The 16,081-nt window shown below is 44.6% G+C and overlaps 4 annotated features.

Moving 5' to 3' along the window:
* Positions 7,757–8,393: an enhancer, noted in NCBI's record as "H3K4me1 hESC enhancer chr6:168551001-168551637 (GRCh37/hg19 assembly coordinates)". NCBI's record gives its function as "activates a minimal SCP1, AML or CMV promoter by ChIP-STARR-seq in naive H9 embryonic stem cells {active_cell/tissue: H9 hESC(naive)}" and the evidence as "EXISTENCE:reporter gene assay evidence [ECO:0000049][PMID:30033119]".
* Positions 13,085–14,084: an enhancer, noted in NCBI's record as "H3K4me1 hESC enhancer chr6:168556329-168557328 (GRCh37/hg19 assembly coordinates)". NCBI's record gives its function as "activates a minimal SCP1, AML or CMV promoter by ChIP-STARR-seq in naive and primed H9 embryonic stem cells {active_cell/tissue: H9 hESC(naive and primed)}" and the evidence as "EXISTENCE:reporter gene assay evidence [ECO:0000049][PMID:30033119]".
* Positions 14,085–15,082: an enhancer, noted in NCBI's record as "H3K27ac-H3K4me1 hESC enhancer chr6:168557329-168558326 (GRCh37/hg19 assembly coordinates)". NCBI's record gives its function as "activates a minimal SCP1, AML or CMV promoter by ChIP-STARR-seq in primed H9 embryonic stem cells {active_cell/tissue: H9 hESC(primed)}" and the evidence as "EXISTENCE:reporter gene assay evidence [ECO:0000049][PMID:30033119]".
* Positions 15,083–16,081: an enhancer, noted in NCBI's record as "NANOG-H3K27ac-H3K4me1 hESC enhancer chr6:168558327-168559325 (GRCh37/hg19 assembly coordinates)". NCBI's record gives its function as "activates a minimal SCP1, AML or CMV promoter by ChIP-STARR-seq in primed H9 embryonic stem cells {active_cell/tissue: H9 hESC(primed)}" and the evidence as "EXISTENCE:reporter gene assay evidence [ECO:0000049][PMID:30033119]".

The following is a 16,081-nucleotide window of genomic DNA, read 5'->3' on the forward strand; positions in this document are numbered from 1 at the left end:
TGTGGTTTTGGTATTAGGGTAATATTGGCCTCATATGATGAGTTTGGAAGTATTTCCTCCTTCTGTGCTTTTTGGAAATAGTTTGAGAAGGATTGGTATTAGTTCGTCTCTAAATGTTTGGTAGAATTCAGGAATGAAATAATCAGATCTTGGGCTTTTCTTCTCTGGGAGACTTTTTATTATGGCTTCAATCTCATTACTTGTTATTGGCTAGTTGAGCTTTTGGATTTCTTCATGGTTCAGTCTTGGTAGGTTGTATGTATCTAGGAGTTTATCCATTTCTTCTAGATTATCCAATTTATTGGCATATAGTTGCTCATAGTAGCCATTAATGATACTTTGAATTTCCATGGTATCAATTGTAATGTCTCATTTTTCATCTTTGATTTTTCTTATTTGGGTCTTCTCTCTCTTTTTCTTTGTGTGGTTAAAGGTTTGTCAATTTGTTTATCTTTTCAAAGACCCACCTTTTAGTTTCATTGATCTTTTGCCTTGTTTTTTTCATTTGAATTTCATTTATTTCTGCTCTGATCTTCATTATTTCTTTTCTACTAACTCTGGGTTTGGTTTGCTCTTGCGTTTCTAGTTTTTAAGGTGCATTGTTAGGTTATTTATATGAAAGTTTTCTTCTTCTTTGATGTAGACACTTATAGCTATAAACTTCCCTGTTAGTATTGCTTTTGCTGTTTCCCAAAGGTTTTGGCATATTGGGTTTCCATTATCATTTGTTTCAAGGAATGAATTATTGAATTTCCTTCTTACCTCTTTATTGACTCCCTGGTCATTCAGAAGCATATGGTGTTTGTATAATTTCCATGTGTTTGTATAGTTTCCCAAGTTCCTCTTGTATTGATTTCTATTTTTTTTTGTCCATTATCATCAGAGAGAAGATGCTTGATATTATTTCCTTTTTTATTAATGTTTTAAGACTTGTTTTGTGACCTAACACATGATCTATCCTTGAGACTGATCCATGTGTTGAGGAAAATAATGTGTATTCTGCAGCCTTTGGATGAAATGTTCTGTTAATATCTATTAGATCTATTTGGTCTTTAGTGCAGATTAAGTCCAATGTTTTCTTTATTGATTTTCTGTCAGGAAGATCTATCCAATGATGGATGAGAGGTATTGAAGTCTCCAGGTATTATTGTATTGGGATCTATCTCTCTTTATCTCTAATAATATTTGCTTTATATATCTGGGTACTCCATAGTTGGGTGCCTATATATTTAAAATTATTATATTTTCTTGCTGAATTGACCCCTTTGTCATTATGTAATGACTTTCTTTGTCTCTTCTTATAGTTTTTGTCTCAAAATATACCCGGTATTTCATGTAAGTATAACTACTCTTGCTCTTTTTTGGTTTCCATTGACACAGAATATCTTTTTCCATCCATTTATTTTTAGTCTGTGTGTGTCTTTATAGGTGAAGTGTGTTTTTTTTTTTTCAGGCCACAGATCATCAGGTCTTGTTTTTGTTATCCATTCAGCCAATCTATGTCTTTTGATTGGAGAGTTTAATCCATTTCCATTTAATGTTATTATTGATAAGAAAGAGCTTACTCCTGCCATTTCATTGTTTTCTGTTTCATTTCTTTCTTGTTTTCTCCTCTGTAGTTTCTTTTCCTTCTTTCGTTCCTTCCTGTCTTCCTTTTAATGAAGGTGACTTTCTCTGGTGGTATAATTTAATTTCTTTCTTTTTATTTTTTGTGTATCTGTGGTATGTTTTTTGATTTGTGATTACCATGAGGCTTGATATCTTATAACCCATTATTTTAAGCCGATAACAACTTAGCACTGCTTTCATTAACAAACAAACTAACAAGCAAAAAGAAAGCTAATAAGAACTCCACACTTTAATCTTGTTCCCTACTTTTTAACTTTTCATTGTTTCTATTTATATCTTACTGTCTGGTCTATGTCTTGAAAAGTTGTTGTAGTTATGATTTTTGGTTGATCTATTTTTTAGTCTTTCTACTTAAGATGAGACCACAGTTACGGTGGTATAATATTCTGTGTTTTTCTGTTTACTTACTATTACCACTAAGTTTTGTACCTTCAGGTGATTTCTTATTGCTCATTAACATCCTTTTCTTTCTGATTGAATTATTCCCTTTAGTATGTCTTGTAGGACAGGTCTGGTATTAATGAAATCCCTCAGCTTTTGTTTGTCTGGGAAAGTCTTTATTTCTCCTTCACGTTTAGAGGACGTTTTTGCTGGACATACTGTTCTAAGGTAGAATCTTTTTCTTTCAGCATTTTAAATATGTCATGCCACTCTCTCCTGGCCTGTAAGGTTTCCACTAAAAAGTCTGCTGCCAGATGCATTGGAGCTCCATTGTATGTTATTTGTTTCTTTTCTCTGCTGCTTTTAGGGTCCTTTCTTTATCCTTGACCTTGGAGAGTTTGATTCTTAAATGCCTTGAGGTAGTCTTTAGGTTAAATCTGGTTAGTGTTCTATAACTTTCTTGTATTTGGACATTGATATCTTTCTCTAGGTCTAGGAATTTCTCTGTTATTATCTCTTTGAATAAACTTTCTACTCCTGTCTCTTTCTTTACCTCCTCTTTAAGGCCAACGACTCTTAGATGTTCTCTTTTGAGGCTATTTTCTAAATCTTGTAGGCATGCTTCATTCTTCTTTGTTCTTTTATTTGGTTTCCTCTGACTGTGTATTTTCAAATAGTCTGCTTCAAGCTCACTAATTCTTTCTTCTGGTTGATTGATTCTGCTGTAAAGAGACTCTGACACATTCTTCAGTATGTCAATTGAATTTTTCAACTCCAGATTTTCTGCTTGAATCTTTTTAATAATTTTAGTTATTTCAATCCCTTTGCTAAATTTGCCTGATAGAATTATGAGTTCCTTCTCTGTGTTATCTCAAATTTCTTTGAGTTTCCTCAAAACAGCTATTTTGAATTCTTTCTCTAAAAGGTCACATATCTGTTTCTCCGGAATAGGTCCCTGGTGGCTTATTTAGTTTGTTTGGTGAGGTCACGTTTTCTTGGATGGTCTTGATGCCTGTGAACGTTCATTGGTGTCTGGGCATTGAAGAGATAGGTATTTATTATAGACTTTGTTGTCTAGAGACAACAAAGGTACTGCCTTTGTGGTCTTGGATAAGATCTGGAAGAACTCTCTGGTTACCAGGGCAGAGACTCTTATTCTCTTCTCTTACTTTCTCCCAAACAAATGGAGTCTCTCTGTCTCTGTGCTGAGGCACCTGGAGCTGGGAGGAGGGTGACACAAGCACCCCTATGGCTACCACCACTGGGACGGCACTGGGTCAGACCTTAAGCCAGCACAGCACTGGGTTTTGCCCAAGGCCTGTTATAACCACTATCTGGCTACTGCCTATGTTTGCTCAAGGTCTTACGGCTCTGCAATCGGCAGGTGGTGAAGCCAGGCAGGCTTGTGTCCTTCCCTTCAGGGCAATGAGTTCTCCCAGGCCCCGGGCAGATCCAGAGATGCTATCCAGGAGCCAGGGATTGGAACAGAAAACCTTAGAAGTCTACCTGGCGTTGTATTCTGCCGTGGCTGAGCTGACACTCAGAACACAAGATGCAGTTCTTCCCCCTCTTCTTTGCCCTTTCTGCAGGGAGAGAAACTGCATCCTATGGCCACCACGACCACAGACCCACGGGAATACTGCCAGGCCGCTGCCAGTGCTCCCTTCAAGCCCAGGAACTCTTCAGTCAGCTTGTGGTGAATGCTGCCTGGCCTGGCACTCACCCTTTCAGGCAGGGGGCTCCCCTCTGGCCCAGGACAGGTCCAGAAATGCTGCCTGAGAGCCAAGGCCTGGAATTGAGACCCCAAGAGCCCGCTTGGTGCTCTGTCCCACTGTGGCTGAGCTGGGACCTAAGGTGCAAGACAAAGTCCCCTTTATTTTTTCTCTGTTTTTCTCAAGCAGAAGGAGTCTTGCCCTGTAGCCACCACAGCTGGGAATGTGCCAGGTCACACCTGAAGCCAGCACGTCTCTGAGTCTCACCCAAGGCCTGAAACTCCTGGGTATCTCTACCGCTCCTTCAGGGCCCAACGGCTCCTCTGTCAGTAGGTAATGGCTCCTACTTGGACCACGTCCTTCAACAGGGCACTTGTTGTTTTTTTTTTGTTTTGTTTTTTATCCTAAGACAGGGTCTTGCTCTGTTGCCCAGGCTGGAGTGCAGTGGCATGATCTTGGCTCACTACAACCTCCACCTCCCAGGTTCAAGCAACTCTCCTGCCTCAGGGCGGTGCTCTTGTGCTGAGACAGCTCTGGAAAGTGTGGAGTTTCCAGCTGGGCTGGGGCTTTTGCCCAACATGATCAGGCTGAGCTGGAGCAGCCTTGATCTCAGATGTGGGTCTATTCAAGGGCAGGTTCACCACGGTGCCAAGGAAAGATGCCTGAGGACACCTGAGTGGCCTCATTCTACACCTTCCTGATGGCAGTGGCCTCATTCTGCACCTCCTGATGGCAGTGGCCTCATTCTGCACCTTCCTGACGGCAGTGGCCTCATTCTGCACCTTCCTGACAGCAATGCAGCCCCCAACGGTGATCCATTTTTTCTGAATATGCAAAAAATATCAACTCCATAAAAGACTCGTGTCTAGTTAATAATCCAAACAGGATTGAGAAGTCCTGCTTTGGAAATGAGAAGAGAGGAAGTGTCCCCAGGGCTTCGGTCCTGGCAGGCATATCCATTATGGCTCCACTCGCTAAATGAACAGCCTGGCTCACAGCAGGCCCTAGACCATCCTAAACCCTTCCATTAATCAAATTGCTTGGATTAAATAGAACAGCAAAGCAGTGATCTTGAGAATGATCTAATAATATTGTGATTGCTTTGAAGATTAAGTGAAAATATCAAAGGAGGTTAACCTAATCTCCTTCCCACCCCAAATGTAAATATACAGTATTGGATTCCCACTGAGAACTGGGAACCTTTTGGGAGGTGGCTCCACTAATCACTCTTCCTGTGACAATCTAGAGAGCCTAATTAAAGATTCTAGGGGCTGGAGAACATTGGCTCTTGGGAACATGTGGGCAGCAGGAAACTGAGCTCTTTTGGAGTGGCTGTGATGGGCGTTCCCAGGCAGGACTGCCCACTTTCTCTGGGTGGACTGGATGGAAGCTTTGATAACCGCATGTGAAAAGCACTGCATCTATTTTTCTTCCTCTATACATTTTCTACCAGAGGTTCACGCAGACTCAGGGAGGTGGTTTCTATCGTGGAAGATCAGGTTTCCCAAATGGTGTGCAGAATATCCGGGACTCATTCTTCCAATCCTGCCTCATACAGACTGAGAACTTCTAATTCAAAATGCTTGGGACCAGAAGTGTTTCAGATTTCAGAGTTTTTTCAGACTTTTGAAATATTTGCATATACATAGTAAAATATCTTGAGGGTCCAGCACAAGTCTAAACATGAAATTCATGCATGCTTCATGTACGCCGTGTACACATAGCCCAAATGCATGCTTCATGTACACCTTATACACATAGCCTAGAGGTAAATTTATACATTTTACATCATTTGAGACATAAAACAAAATTCATGTACATCAAACCATCAGGAAGCAAAGGTGCCACTATCTCAGCCACATATACGGATAAGCTGGGAATATTTCACATCACCATCTCTCCTGGCTCTGAATTTATCTGCTACCAATAAGCAGTCCTTTCCTCACGCTTACTTACACAGAGTACGTGACAGTAAGGAACACTCCATCCCATTAAAACAGTGAAGAGTAACGAGTCCAGGGTTAGTAGCAGCATGGTGGCATCAGCCATCAGACAGCAGCTGCAGGGAACAGCGGCATCTTCAGTATCCACCAACAGTGCTGGGCTTGGTTAAAAGGTGACCATACGCTGGAGCCCCCTTGCTGAATAAACGGTGTGTTTTGCACCTGTGTTTTGACTGTGACCTGTCACATGAAGACAATGCAGAATTCTTTGCTTGTGGCGGCATATCTGTGCTACAAAATTTTGGGATTTTGAGCATTTCGGATTTTGAATTTTCAGGATGCTCAGCCTGTGGTAGACACTAAACTAATATTTGTCATGTTGAACACGCATGTGGTGAGTGCCGACTGCATCTGAAGCACATGCACAGACCACATGTGAAGTCTTGCCGACTTCAGAGTTCAGGAGCCTAGCAAGAGGTGAGAGAAACACAAACAACATAAGTCAAAAGTGACGTGATACGAGGTCAGGAGTTTGAGACCAGCCTGGCCAACATGGAGAAACCCCGTCTCCACTAAAAATAGAAAAATACAAAAATTAGCTGGGTGTGGTGACACATGCCTGTAGTCCCAGCTACTCAGGAGGCTGAGTCAGGAGAATCACTTGAACCCGGGAGGCAGAGGTTTCAGTGAGCCAAGATCGCACCACTGCACTCCATCCTGGGTGGGTGACAGAGTGAGACTCCATCTAAAAAAAAAAAAAAAAGTGATGTGATAGAAATACAGATTCCAAAAACGGGTTCCTGTCATAGGTGCTTTTTCGTCTCCAAGTCGAGAGTATCATGTTCCTTTCCAAATGACACGGATCATACAAGTTTAACACAGGCTTAGAGGTCTCCCAGCCCTGGAGTCTCCACGTGGAATCTCAGAATCACCGGGGGAACATGGAGCAGCCGCTGGCCCCAGCCCCACCCGGACCTGGCCCTGCTGGATGCATTTCCCACGGCTGTTGAAACAAATCACCTCAAACGCAGTGGCTTCTCCTGACCAGATGGAGTGGCGGATGTAGATGAGACATAGCACTATAAACCTCTCACACTGAAGGGGGTGTGGAACTAAGAAACGTGTTATGTGCTGCGCTTTGAAATGGGGAGAAGACTAGGGAAGCATTCTAGAACGAAATTCCAAATATCTCTTCTGAAGGAGAACAATGCGTGAATCACCCTAAGTAACAGAAGTAAGAATGCCTTTCACATTCGGCTTTGAGGGGCATTCTGTAATTTTTGCCTTGCTTTGAAAAAATATCTTCCATAATTTCTTCATTGGCTTAATATTTGAAGCCTCATTATTCTCTGAGCCACACATCTATGGAAAGTATAAGATGTCCAGGATTAAATGTGGCAAAGGAATGATTAAAATGGCTAACCTCTTGCGGTCACTCCTAGATGTGTGTATCTCAGGGTAAAGGTCTTAATTTCTTTACGGCAGTTTCCTCATTGGTAAAATGAAGAGAATCACAGGGCCACCTCCTTCATAGGGATGTTACGAGGTTTAAATGACACAGTATATGTCGGCTGGTTGTGAGAGCACTCAATGAACAGAAGCCGACTTTGTCACCAACGTCATTTCCATTGTCATCAGCACCGTGCACTTAATCGCAGCGTAAGGAGGGAAGGCTTGCTGGGGATTAGCAGATGATGGGACTGTGAGCCTCTCTCTGAGGATATTTAAAACATCTCAGTCTCACAGCAGATTGGACGCAGAACTGAGCGATGAGGAATTGATGGGAGAATTAATACCTGCGCATCTGTCCTTACACTTGGGTGGGGCACGTGCTCATCTGACACAGGGTGATATTCCTCTTGGTGGCAAGATTCACTCAAACATCGATTTTCTCCCCAGCATTTCCATTTCTGAATGGGATCTCTGTGTCCTTTGACATGGTGTTAAATGTTAAAATACAGGGTTTTGTGGCATCACAGAAAGTCTCTGAGGACTCCGAGCTGGGTCCCCATTGAACCCACCTACAGAGGTTGCTGTGGAGCCGGGAGAGTTTTTACCACAGTGCCTGGCACATTGTAGGTTTCAAAATACAAAAAATGGAGTTTCTGGATCATTTGTTAGCTCTGTTTTTAATTTTTTGAGGAACCTCCATATCGCCCTCCCTACAGTGGCTTCATCAACAGTGTGCAAAGGTTCCAATTTATCCAAAAAATGGGAATCAGGATCTCAGAAAGATGTCTGCACTCCCATGTGCAATGTGGGACTGCTCACAGTGGCCAAGATACAGAATCAACCTGTGTCAACAGATGAATAGATCAAGAAAACGTTCAGACAGAGAATGCAATATGCTTCGACCTTAAAAGGGAAGGCCGTTCTCACCCATGTCACCTGCAGAGGTGAACCTTGAGGACGTTCTGCTTGCTGAAATGCGCCAATCACAAACAGACCAACACTGTGTGATTCCTCTTGCGTGAGGCCCCTAGAGTCCCCGGAGCCACAGAGGCAGCCGTGGAGTGGCGGGAGCCAGGCAGGGGCAGGGAGGAGAGGGTCTGCTGTTCCGTGGGAGTGAGTGTCAGGGACGCGAGTGCACACGCTCTGCGATCTGCTGTGCAACGTTGTCCCCAGAGCGAACAGCACCGTGAGGTCAACACTTACAGTTACGTGAGGAGGGTTGAGCCCATGCTAAGTGTTCTTACTGCAAAAAAATTAAAGCAGAAAAAAACCTTAGAGGTAGTGATGATTTCTATCTATAGTCAAAGGTGTTCTAGGCGAAACCTGTTTTGGTTCGGCTTGTTTTGCCTGTGCACACAGCAGGTGGCAGTCTGAGCCTGCAGATGGCACCCTGAGGCACGGCTGGACGTCGAGTTGAGGAGGGGGCGTCTTGAGGCCTCTGTCATGCCCTGGGTGCCATGTGGGCGGAGATCCCTGCCCAGGCACAGCTCTGAGTCCCATACACGGGTGACCCGCACCTCCCAGGGTACCGTGTAGACAGGACTTTTCTTAGCAGGAGGGAATTGTTCATTGAGTTCTCTGAGTTGATTAAAAGGGAAAAAAATCTATCATAGAAAATCTGTAGTTTCTTGGTTTTTTCCTTTCAAAAACTCACAGTTTTCTTGACACTCTTACAACTGCAGGAAGTAAATGTTATAAGTTCCGATAACACCTCAGCATACTTCATTCCTTGCACCAAAACTAAGTCTGACTGGATCACGGTGTAACTTTTAACAATGAAACCATAAAATCCTAGAAGGAAAACAAAAATATACGATTAATATTGGGGTAGGGAAGGTATGACCCAAATCCCAAAAAACATAAAAGAAAAAGTTGACAACATTTACCATATAAAAATAAAAACATTCCTGACAGGAAGAAGTGTGTAAACAAAGTCAAACACAAACATTCAACTAGCAAAAGATATTTTAACAAATAAGAAAATAAAAGACTTATGATTCCAATACACATACATATTAATAAGGAATGAAATATTGAAAAATGGCCAAAGATACAGAGAAAGAGACGAAGAGCCATTAAATATTTAAAAATATACTGAACCTCACATGATTAAGGATAGTTTGTTCAAATGACGTCAAGTCAGTCTTCATGCATCCATTGGTAGAGAGGTAAACCCTTCCCATAACTGGCGAGGGGAGGTGCAAGAAGGGACTCTCATTTACCATTGGGGGAGGGTAAATTGGCCTAATATTTGGAGCTCAATTGGCAGTATCTTTTAGAATGATGAACGCTTTTGCTCTTTGACTCAGCAACTCAGCCCATTTGCACAGAGATGTTTATTGCAGAATTTGTCTGAAATAACAACAAAGTGTAGAGACTCAAAGGCAGGTGGGCTATGATAACATGTGGCCTCCTTCTCTACAGACTGGGAAGTGGAGGCAGGGAACGCTGCCTCGTTCCTGCTCTGTTGCTTGGCAGAGAGCTTCCAGGCAAACCAGAATGGAGGTGAATGGTGAATTAGGCCTTGGATTTGGGGTCTAGACCATGCAACATATAGTGGGTCACATCATTTCACACCAACGACATGGGTCATCGTCTCTCCTTAAACTTCAGCTTCATAGGGCTCCCACGATTTAGTAATGTCACAAAGCAACATGTGGTCTTACTTGGGACAGACATAATAATGCATCTTGAGCCATGGAAATGGGTTAAGTGCTAAATCTTATAAATATTTGTCCTGCCCTGGACGTTTAGGGCAAGGAAAGGAATGTTTTCTCTCTTACTGAATTCCACATCATCTCAGCTTGGCAATCAATCAAAGCTCTGGCTTTCATCCTGGGATTTTATGACCTCAGATGGGAAGCACGACAAGCAGAGAATTTACAGCTATGTGGGGACCCCAAGCTGAAAGCTTTCTAACGCACGTTGGAGGGTCTTCGGGCTCCACTGCCGTCTTGTGGGTTGCTTTCTCTTCTTTGCAGTTTTCCTGGCAGAGTTGCTCGGATTACTTGATGAGGTTCTTGGGGTTATCTTTTCAGGAGCATCCCTGAAATCACAGGTGTTGTTGCCAGAGGCGATGCCCTCTCTTCAGCTGGCAGAAGCGCCAGCGGCAGGAGCGTGTCGAGGGAGGTTTTGTGTCTCTTCTCCCCATCCTCGGCCTGCTTACCGAGGCCCGCTCCGTGCCAGAAAACACACTGGTGTTCATGTGTCACCCCAGCTCCACGATCATGACCTGCTGCCTGTCTCAGGTACCACCAGTTGCATTTTCTCAGACAGAATTTTAACTTCATCAAATTGTGGTAGGAGGAATCCTAGAGACCACGTAAAATGACTCCTTCATTTTCTAGGTGAGGATCTTGAAACCCAGCAGGGTTAAACGACACTGAAGAGGAAACACCCAGCCCTGGCCCCACAGAACAGCGTGAGCTTGCTAATGAATAGCCCGAAGACCACAGAGCACTAGACAGAGCATTTCAGCTTTGAAGAAGTGAGTTCCTGACCTTGAGCTTTGGAACAGATGCTCTATGAACCTCTGCAAGTGACCAGCTTTTAGGGCCATCCTTGAAGACAGCGATTCTAGTGAATGGACAGTGTGTAGCTCCTGCTCACAGCTGGGAGAACTACTTAAAGGGAGCACATTAGGTAAGGATCCAACTTACACTTTGATGTCTAAGTCTCTTTCTTTGCCCGTCAGAACAAAAGTCACTGCCATGATAACTAGGCTTTGCTAGTGCAATGCAGTATATTTTAAATTCTTACAAATATTTTAGACTTGTTTCCACAGAGGCACCATTGATATGTACGTAAAACAGGGCCTTTCAGCAAAGTGTTAAGCTGATCATCTGCAGGGGTGAACCTACAACAATGAAATGACACGTGTGCTCGTGGATTAGACGGCAGTGAATGTGGTTTCTCTTGAGAACTTCGTTCTAGTGGAAAAATGAAGCATCTCTCCCTCGTGACACGGTTCTCACCACAGCGGTTCTGGCCCCTCCTGTTAGTGATGAGCAGGTTGTTTAAAAGAAAAAGAAAAAATATGGCCTCCTAAGCACATAAACCGCACGTTGTAAAAAAGCCCAGACTATCCCAGTGAGATTATAATGAACGTCTTATTTCCAATTAAGTTTCACTTCATATAATTGGATTTTATGCTTCAGAATGATGTTCCTAATTATGGGTGTTATGTCTGTGAGACAACTGTTAAAAGAAAAACCTTGGACAAGGCCAGGCACGGTGGCTCATGCCTGTAATCCTGGCACTCTGGGAGGCTGAGGTGGGAGGACTGCTTGAACCCAGGAGTTTGAGACCAGCTTGGCAACACGGCAAAACCCTGTCTCTCCAAAATTTTTTTTAAAAAAGCATTATCGTGGTGTGGTGGTACACGCCTGTAGTCCCAGCTACTTGGGAGGCTGAGTTGGGAGGATCGCCTGAGCCAGGGAAGTCGAGGCTGCAGTGAGCTGTGATTAGTGCCACTGCACTCCAGCCTGGGCAATGGAGTGAGACTCAGTCTCAAAAAAAAGAAAAGAAAAATCATAGACAAATTAAATTTAAGAGAGTAATTGAGCAAAAATGCTTCACCAATCAGGCAGCCCCTGATCAAGAATAGGCTCAGAGAGACTCTGGCACTGCCTTGGGGTGGAAAGAAATTTATGGACAAAAAAGCAAAGTGAGGCACAGAAAACAGAGAGGAAGGACAGAAACAGCTGGTCAGTTACAGCTCAGTGTTTGCCCTTTTGAACACAGTTCGAACAGTTTGCTGCCTGTGATTGGCTGAAACTCTGTGATTGGTACAAGAGTGGGTTAGGTCTGTTTCCATGTCCAGTTAGGTGACAGTTCGCTGTGTACACAGAAACCTTCAGGCCAAATGTAAAATGTGTAAGAAGGCAGCTTTAGGCTAAACTTCATTCAACACAGTGCAGAGTGTGTAGGCAGCATCCATGAATGAGAAAGTTATAGCGTGTGAGTGTGTGTGCACAGGGCAGCACCTGTGGCTGAAAAAGTCACAGCAGGCGAGTGTGGGCATGCACAAGGCAGAAGGATGGGACAGCATGGCCGGCCAGTGCATGGTCACTGGGGGATTTGCATGGCAGGCCAGCTGGATGGTTTCTGGGGGATTTGCATGTCGGGCCAGTGCGATGGTAACTGGGGATTTTTCATAGCAGGCCAGTTTGATGGTAACTGCAGGGTTTGCATGGTGGGCCAGTGCAATGGTAACTGGGGGACTGGGTGATTTTCAGATGCAAGAACTCTTCCCATTTCTTCAAAGCGGGTACTGACATGCTGAGCTGTTCATCTGCATGACTGCAACCTCTGTGGGAAGTTGGGGAAGCCACAGACAGAGGCATTTTCTTTTCTTTCTCACAGGTCTGGGGTATCGCTGCCACTGTGTTACTCCCTCCAATGATTAAGTCCTACAGAAGCCAAGCCCTTTTGGGAATCAGGCTCAGAGTGGGCTGTGTCCTCACCTTAGTAGCTTCCCTTGTCCAGGCCCCTGACAACAGTCATGGGTGGCGGGGCCTCCAGTTTCAGTGAGCTTTGGGGATTTTCTGTAGCGCACCACCTTCCGCTCCTTAACCTGCATGAACAGAGATGACCATGGCCCATCAGAAGATGGAGAAACTAGACAGGGGGGCATGTGTGCCCCCTTTTCCAGAGCCTCACAATGACTCAGCGTTTGGGCAAGAGATGGATCCCAGGACTCCCAAACATTCTTCCAGCCTCGCACAGTTCACCAGAGAGTCACAGTGACTCATTCTCATCCTCAAAGTCTTTTCCCACTCAGGTGTCTGGTAAGAAGCCTGGTTAGAAGCTCCACTGCAGGAAGAAGGACATCTTGCCATGTGTTTTGAACACATGTTGTCTTGTTATATGTTGTGAACATAGATGTTTTCAATTGATTTTAACAAAACACATTATACATTCCATTAAGAAAAAAAAACAATCAGTGTGTTTGCTTTGCTGTCTGTGAAAGATGTTTCAAATGAAGTGGAGTGATCTAATTTCATTGTCGGCTCCTGAAGAATTCATATAGCAGAGTGAAAACATCCATCAGTATTTGGACATGTACTCCTTGTGGTTTAAAATAAGGGCCAAGCACGCCTTTTATTTGGTGATATTCAACATAAAGAAGGCGTTTTCTATGTTTTTGTGATCTCATTTTGCTTTCTTTGAAGACGAATATCATTTTTAGAACAAAAAAGATTGTAAAATAATTATGTCATCAGAATTCAATGATAATTCACAGGAAAACAGGACACTGATTGTGTTGGTCAAACAGCCCATGCGCACGGTAAGCCGAGTGTGACTTTGTTTATCAAATGCTCATGTGGCGAGACCGATCTCTGGACTCTGTCCTGGGTTCCCGGGCTCCACCCAGGCTGCATCTCCCATCCCCCCGGTGCACACGCTGTGTTGCTGCATCTCCCAACCCCCGGTGCACACGCTGTGTTGCTGCATCTCACATCCCCCGGTGCACACGCTGTGTTGCTGCATCTCCCATCCCCCGGTGCACACGCTGCGTTGCTGCATCTCGCATCCCCCCGGTGCACACCCTGTGTTGCTGCATCTCGCATCCCCCTGGTGCACACGCTGTGTTGCAGTTCTTGCCTCGTAGGAGCCGTCCATGGCAGCTGGCAGGTGGAGGATCCTGCCTTTTGAGTACTGTGTTCCTGGGTCAGTGCAAAGTCAGGTGCACTGGAGCAGGCTCCTATCAGCTAAACATTCAGGAAGTTTGAGAGGCTGATGTTAAGGTAGCTTGAAGTGGTCATGAGAGAAAAATTTGCACCCTGAAAGTTGACAAATGCTTCAAATCAGGACTCCTCCTCCATCCTGTCCCAGCTGAATACAGAGAAACGATTCATCTTTTGCCGACCTCTGTTGCCTTTTGGCAAAGTAAAGTCATGAGACTTCAGGAAGCAATTCAACTTCTCAAAATGAATTAAATAGCTTTCATGAGCTTGCAAATGTCTGCCTTTCTTATAGGAGGAGGCAGAGGGTTCAGCCTCCCTAGAGAAGTGATATTATAATCTCCACCTCTGTCTCCTTTTGGCAAAGTGAAGTCACGAGATTTCGGGAAGCAATTCCCGTCTACATTCAGCACCTGCAATTGCATTAAAGGACATCCCGGGCAGAGGAAAAGCAAGGCCACGGGCACAGGGCGGGGCAGTGGCAAAGGTGATGGGGAAGGGTGGCTGCCGACATGGTGGTCAGCAGGCTGCAGCCACCTTGTGACCAGGAGGTATGCCTTGCTCAGAAGCCCAGATGCTTGATGCATGTACCGTCCAGATGTTCTAAGCCATGTGCACAGAGAGCCCTCGGGCCTAACAACACATACATCACTGTCAATCCCGAAGCACCGTCATGGAGATTTATCCACCCTCCAACAGCATCAGTGCCCAGGAATCCGCCCAGATGAGATGAGTTCCAGGAAAATGTTGTCCCTCAGGAGTCCTGGGCTTTACTTTCAGATACACTACTCTCTTCAGGTATGAATTCCATAGTCATTTCCATGTTAAGCCTCAGCCTTTTCAGTGTAAAATGGCAGTTCCAGGGGGAAATGTTGTACAGTAGGATAAGCCAGACTCAAATTACTGAAAACATCCTGAATTAGTAGCCACATTTCCACGTTTCGGTGGCCCCTGGCAGGTGGAGGTTATCAGAGCGTCTGGCAGCCCTCTCATTCCCAGGCTAAAATGAGGTCTGACTGCAGCTCATACAGCTGGAGTGTGGCCTGGTGAGGAAGGGTTTAGAAGACCGAGAGGAGGCTAACATCCTACAAAGCACAACAGTCACTTCCTGAAACATACCTTAGGTGTGATTTTAAACTTGACTCATTTGACGCACTTTTTCTGGCACTTACAGAGATGAGGCCATCTTCTCTTCTGACTGCTTTAAGCTCTTGCCAGGCATTGCCAAAAAAAAAAAATAACCTGGGGACGAGCCGCCCACCCAGCAGTAGTATTGATCCGTGCTTGCCAACGGTCCTTTGCTTTCGTGTCTGTAAGCTGTGGCTCCCTGCGGGTCAGTCTTCCTGACTCAGAGGAGCAGACACTTCTGCATTACTCACTGTTCTAAAACGTCCTTGTAAACACCAGAGATTTATTCTTCAGCTTTGCTGTCAGATGGCTAATCTCTCATTTATGGGTTTGTGCTGACTAGTGCATAGCCAGCACAGCACGGGCTGCCGCTCTCCACTCCCCCAGAGAAGGGCCCAGGGTCCCCCCTGCCCCGGCTCCCAGAGCTCAGCTCTGGTATTCAAGGCAGGACCTACCCACCTGCCTGAGGGCTCGCCAACAGTGTTACATGACGACCTAGAATAAAAGCTGCAGAGACTTCAAAAGAGAGGTCTCCTTTAAAGGCAGTGAAGTAGGCGTTTTGGAGAAAAGATGTCTATGGTTGCTAAACACTCACATTTTCAGGAGCCTTGGTAAACCTGGAGAAACTGTTTGATTTCTAAGTCAACATACTTCACCCAGTCATCCTTCCATTTGGTTAAACTGCATAAAGCTCATCACTGTAACATCACTTCACTAGGGGGCTGACCCCCTCTGTCTCCTTTAACAAAGGCAGATATTTGCAAGCCCGTGAAACACAGTGGGCTGAACATGTTCCTACATTGTTATATTGGAAGTGGAAGCAGCTGCTCCTAATTTGGTCATCTTCCCTCAAGCAGGAAGGTGTCGCCAAGCAGAGGGTCCCACGGAGCCAAGACTCCACAGACTGCTACGTGACCACAGGGATGGGTTAGACCCGCTTCCAGCTTCTGCAGCTAAAGCAACAGCCCCCACAGGGCAGAGGAAAGCGACAAAACCAAATCCCAGCGCTTCTGAAATGGACACATCTGCCCTCTGGAAAAAATCAATTGGCGTTGCCGTGACAGATTCTGCCGCCCAGCAAGACGCGAAGTGATTTAGTAATCTAGTTGTTTTTTGTTTTTGATTAAGCAAACAGTTTTCTACAAAAGCA

This window comes from Homo sapiens, chromosome 6 (genome assembly GCF_000001405.40).
Source record: "Homo sapiens chromosome 6, GRCh38.p14 Primary Assembly".
NCBI lineage: Eukaryota > Metazoa > Chordata > Mammalia > Primates > Hominidae > Homo > Homo sapiens.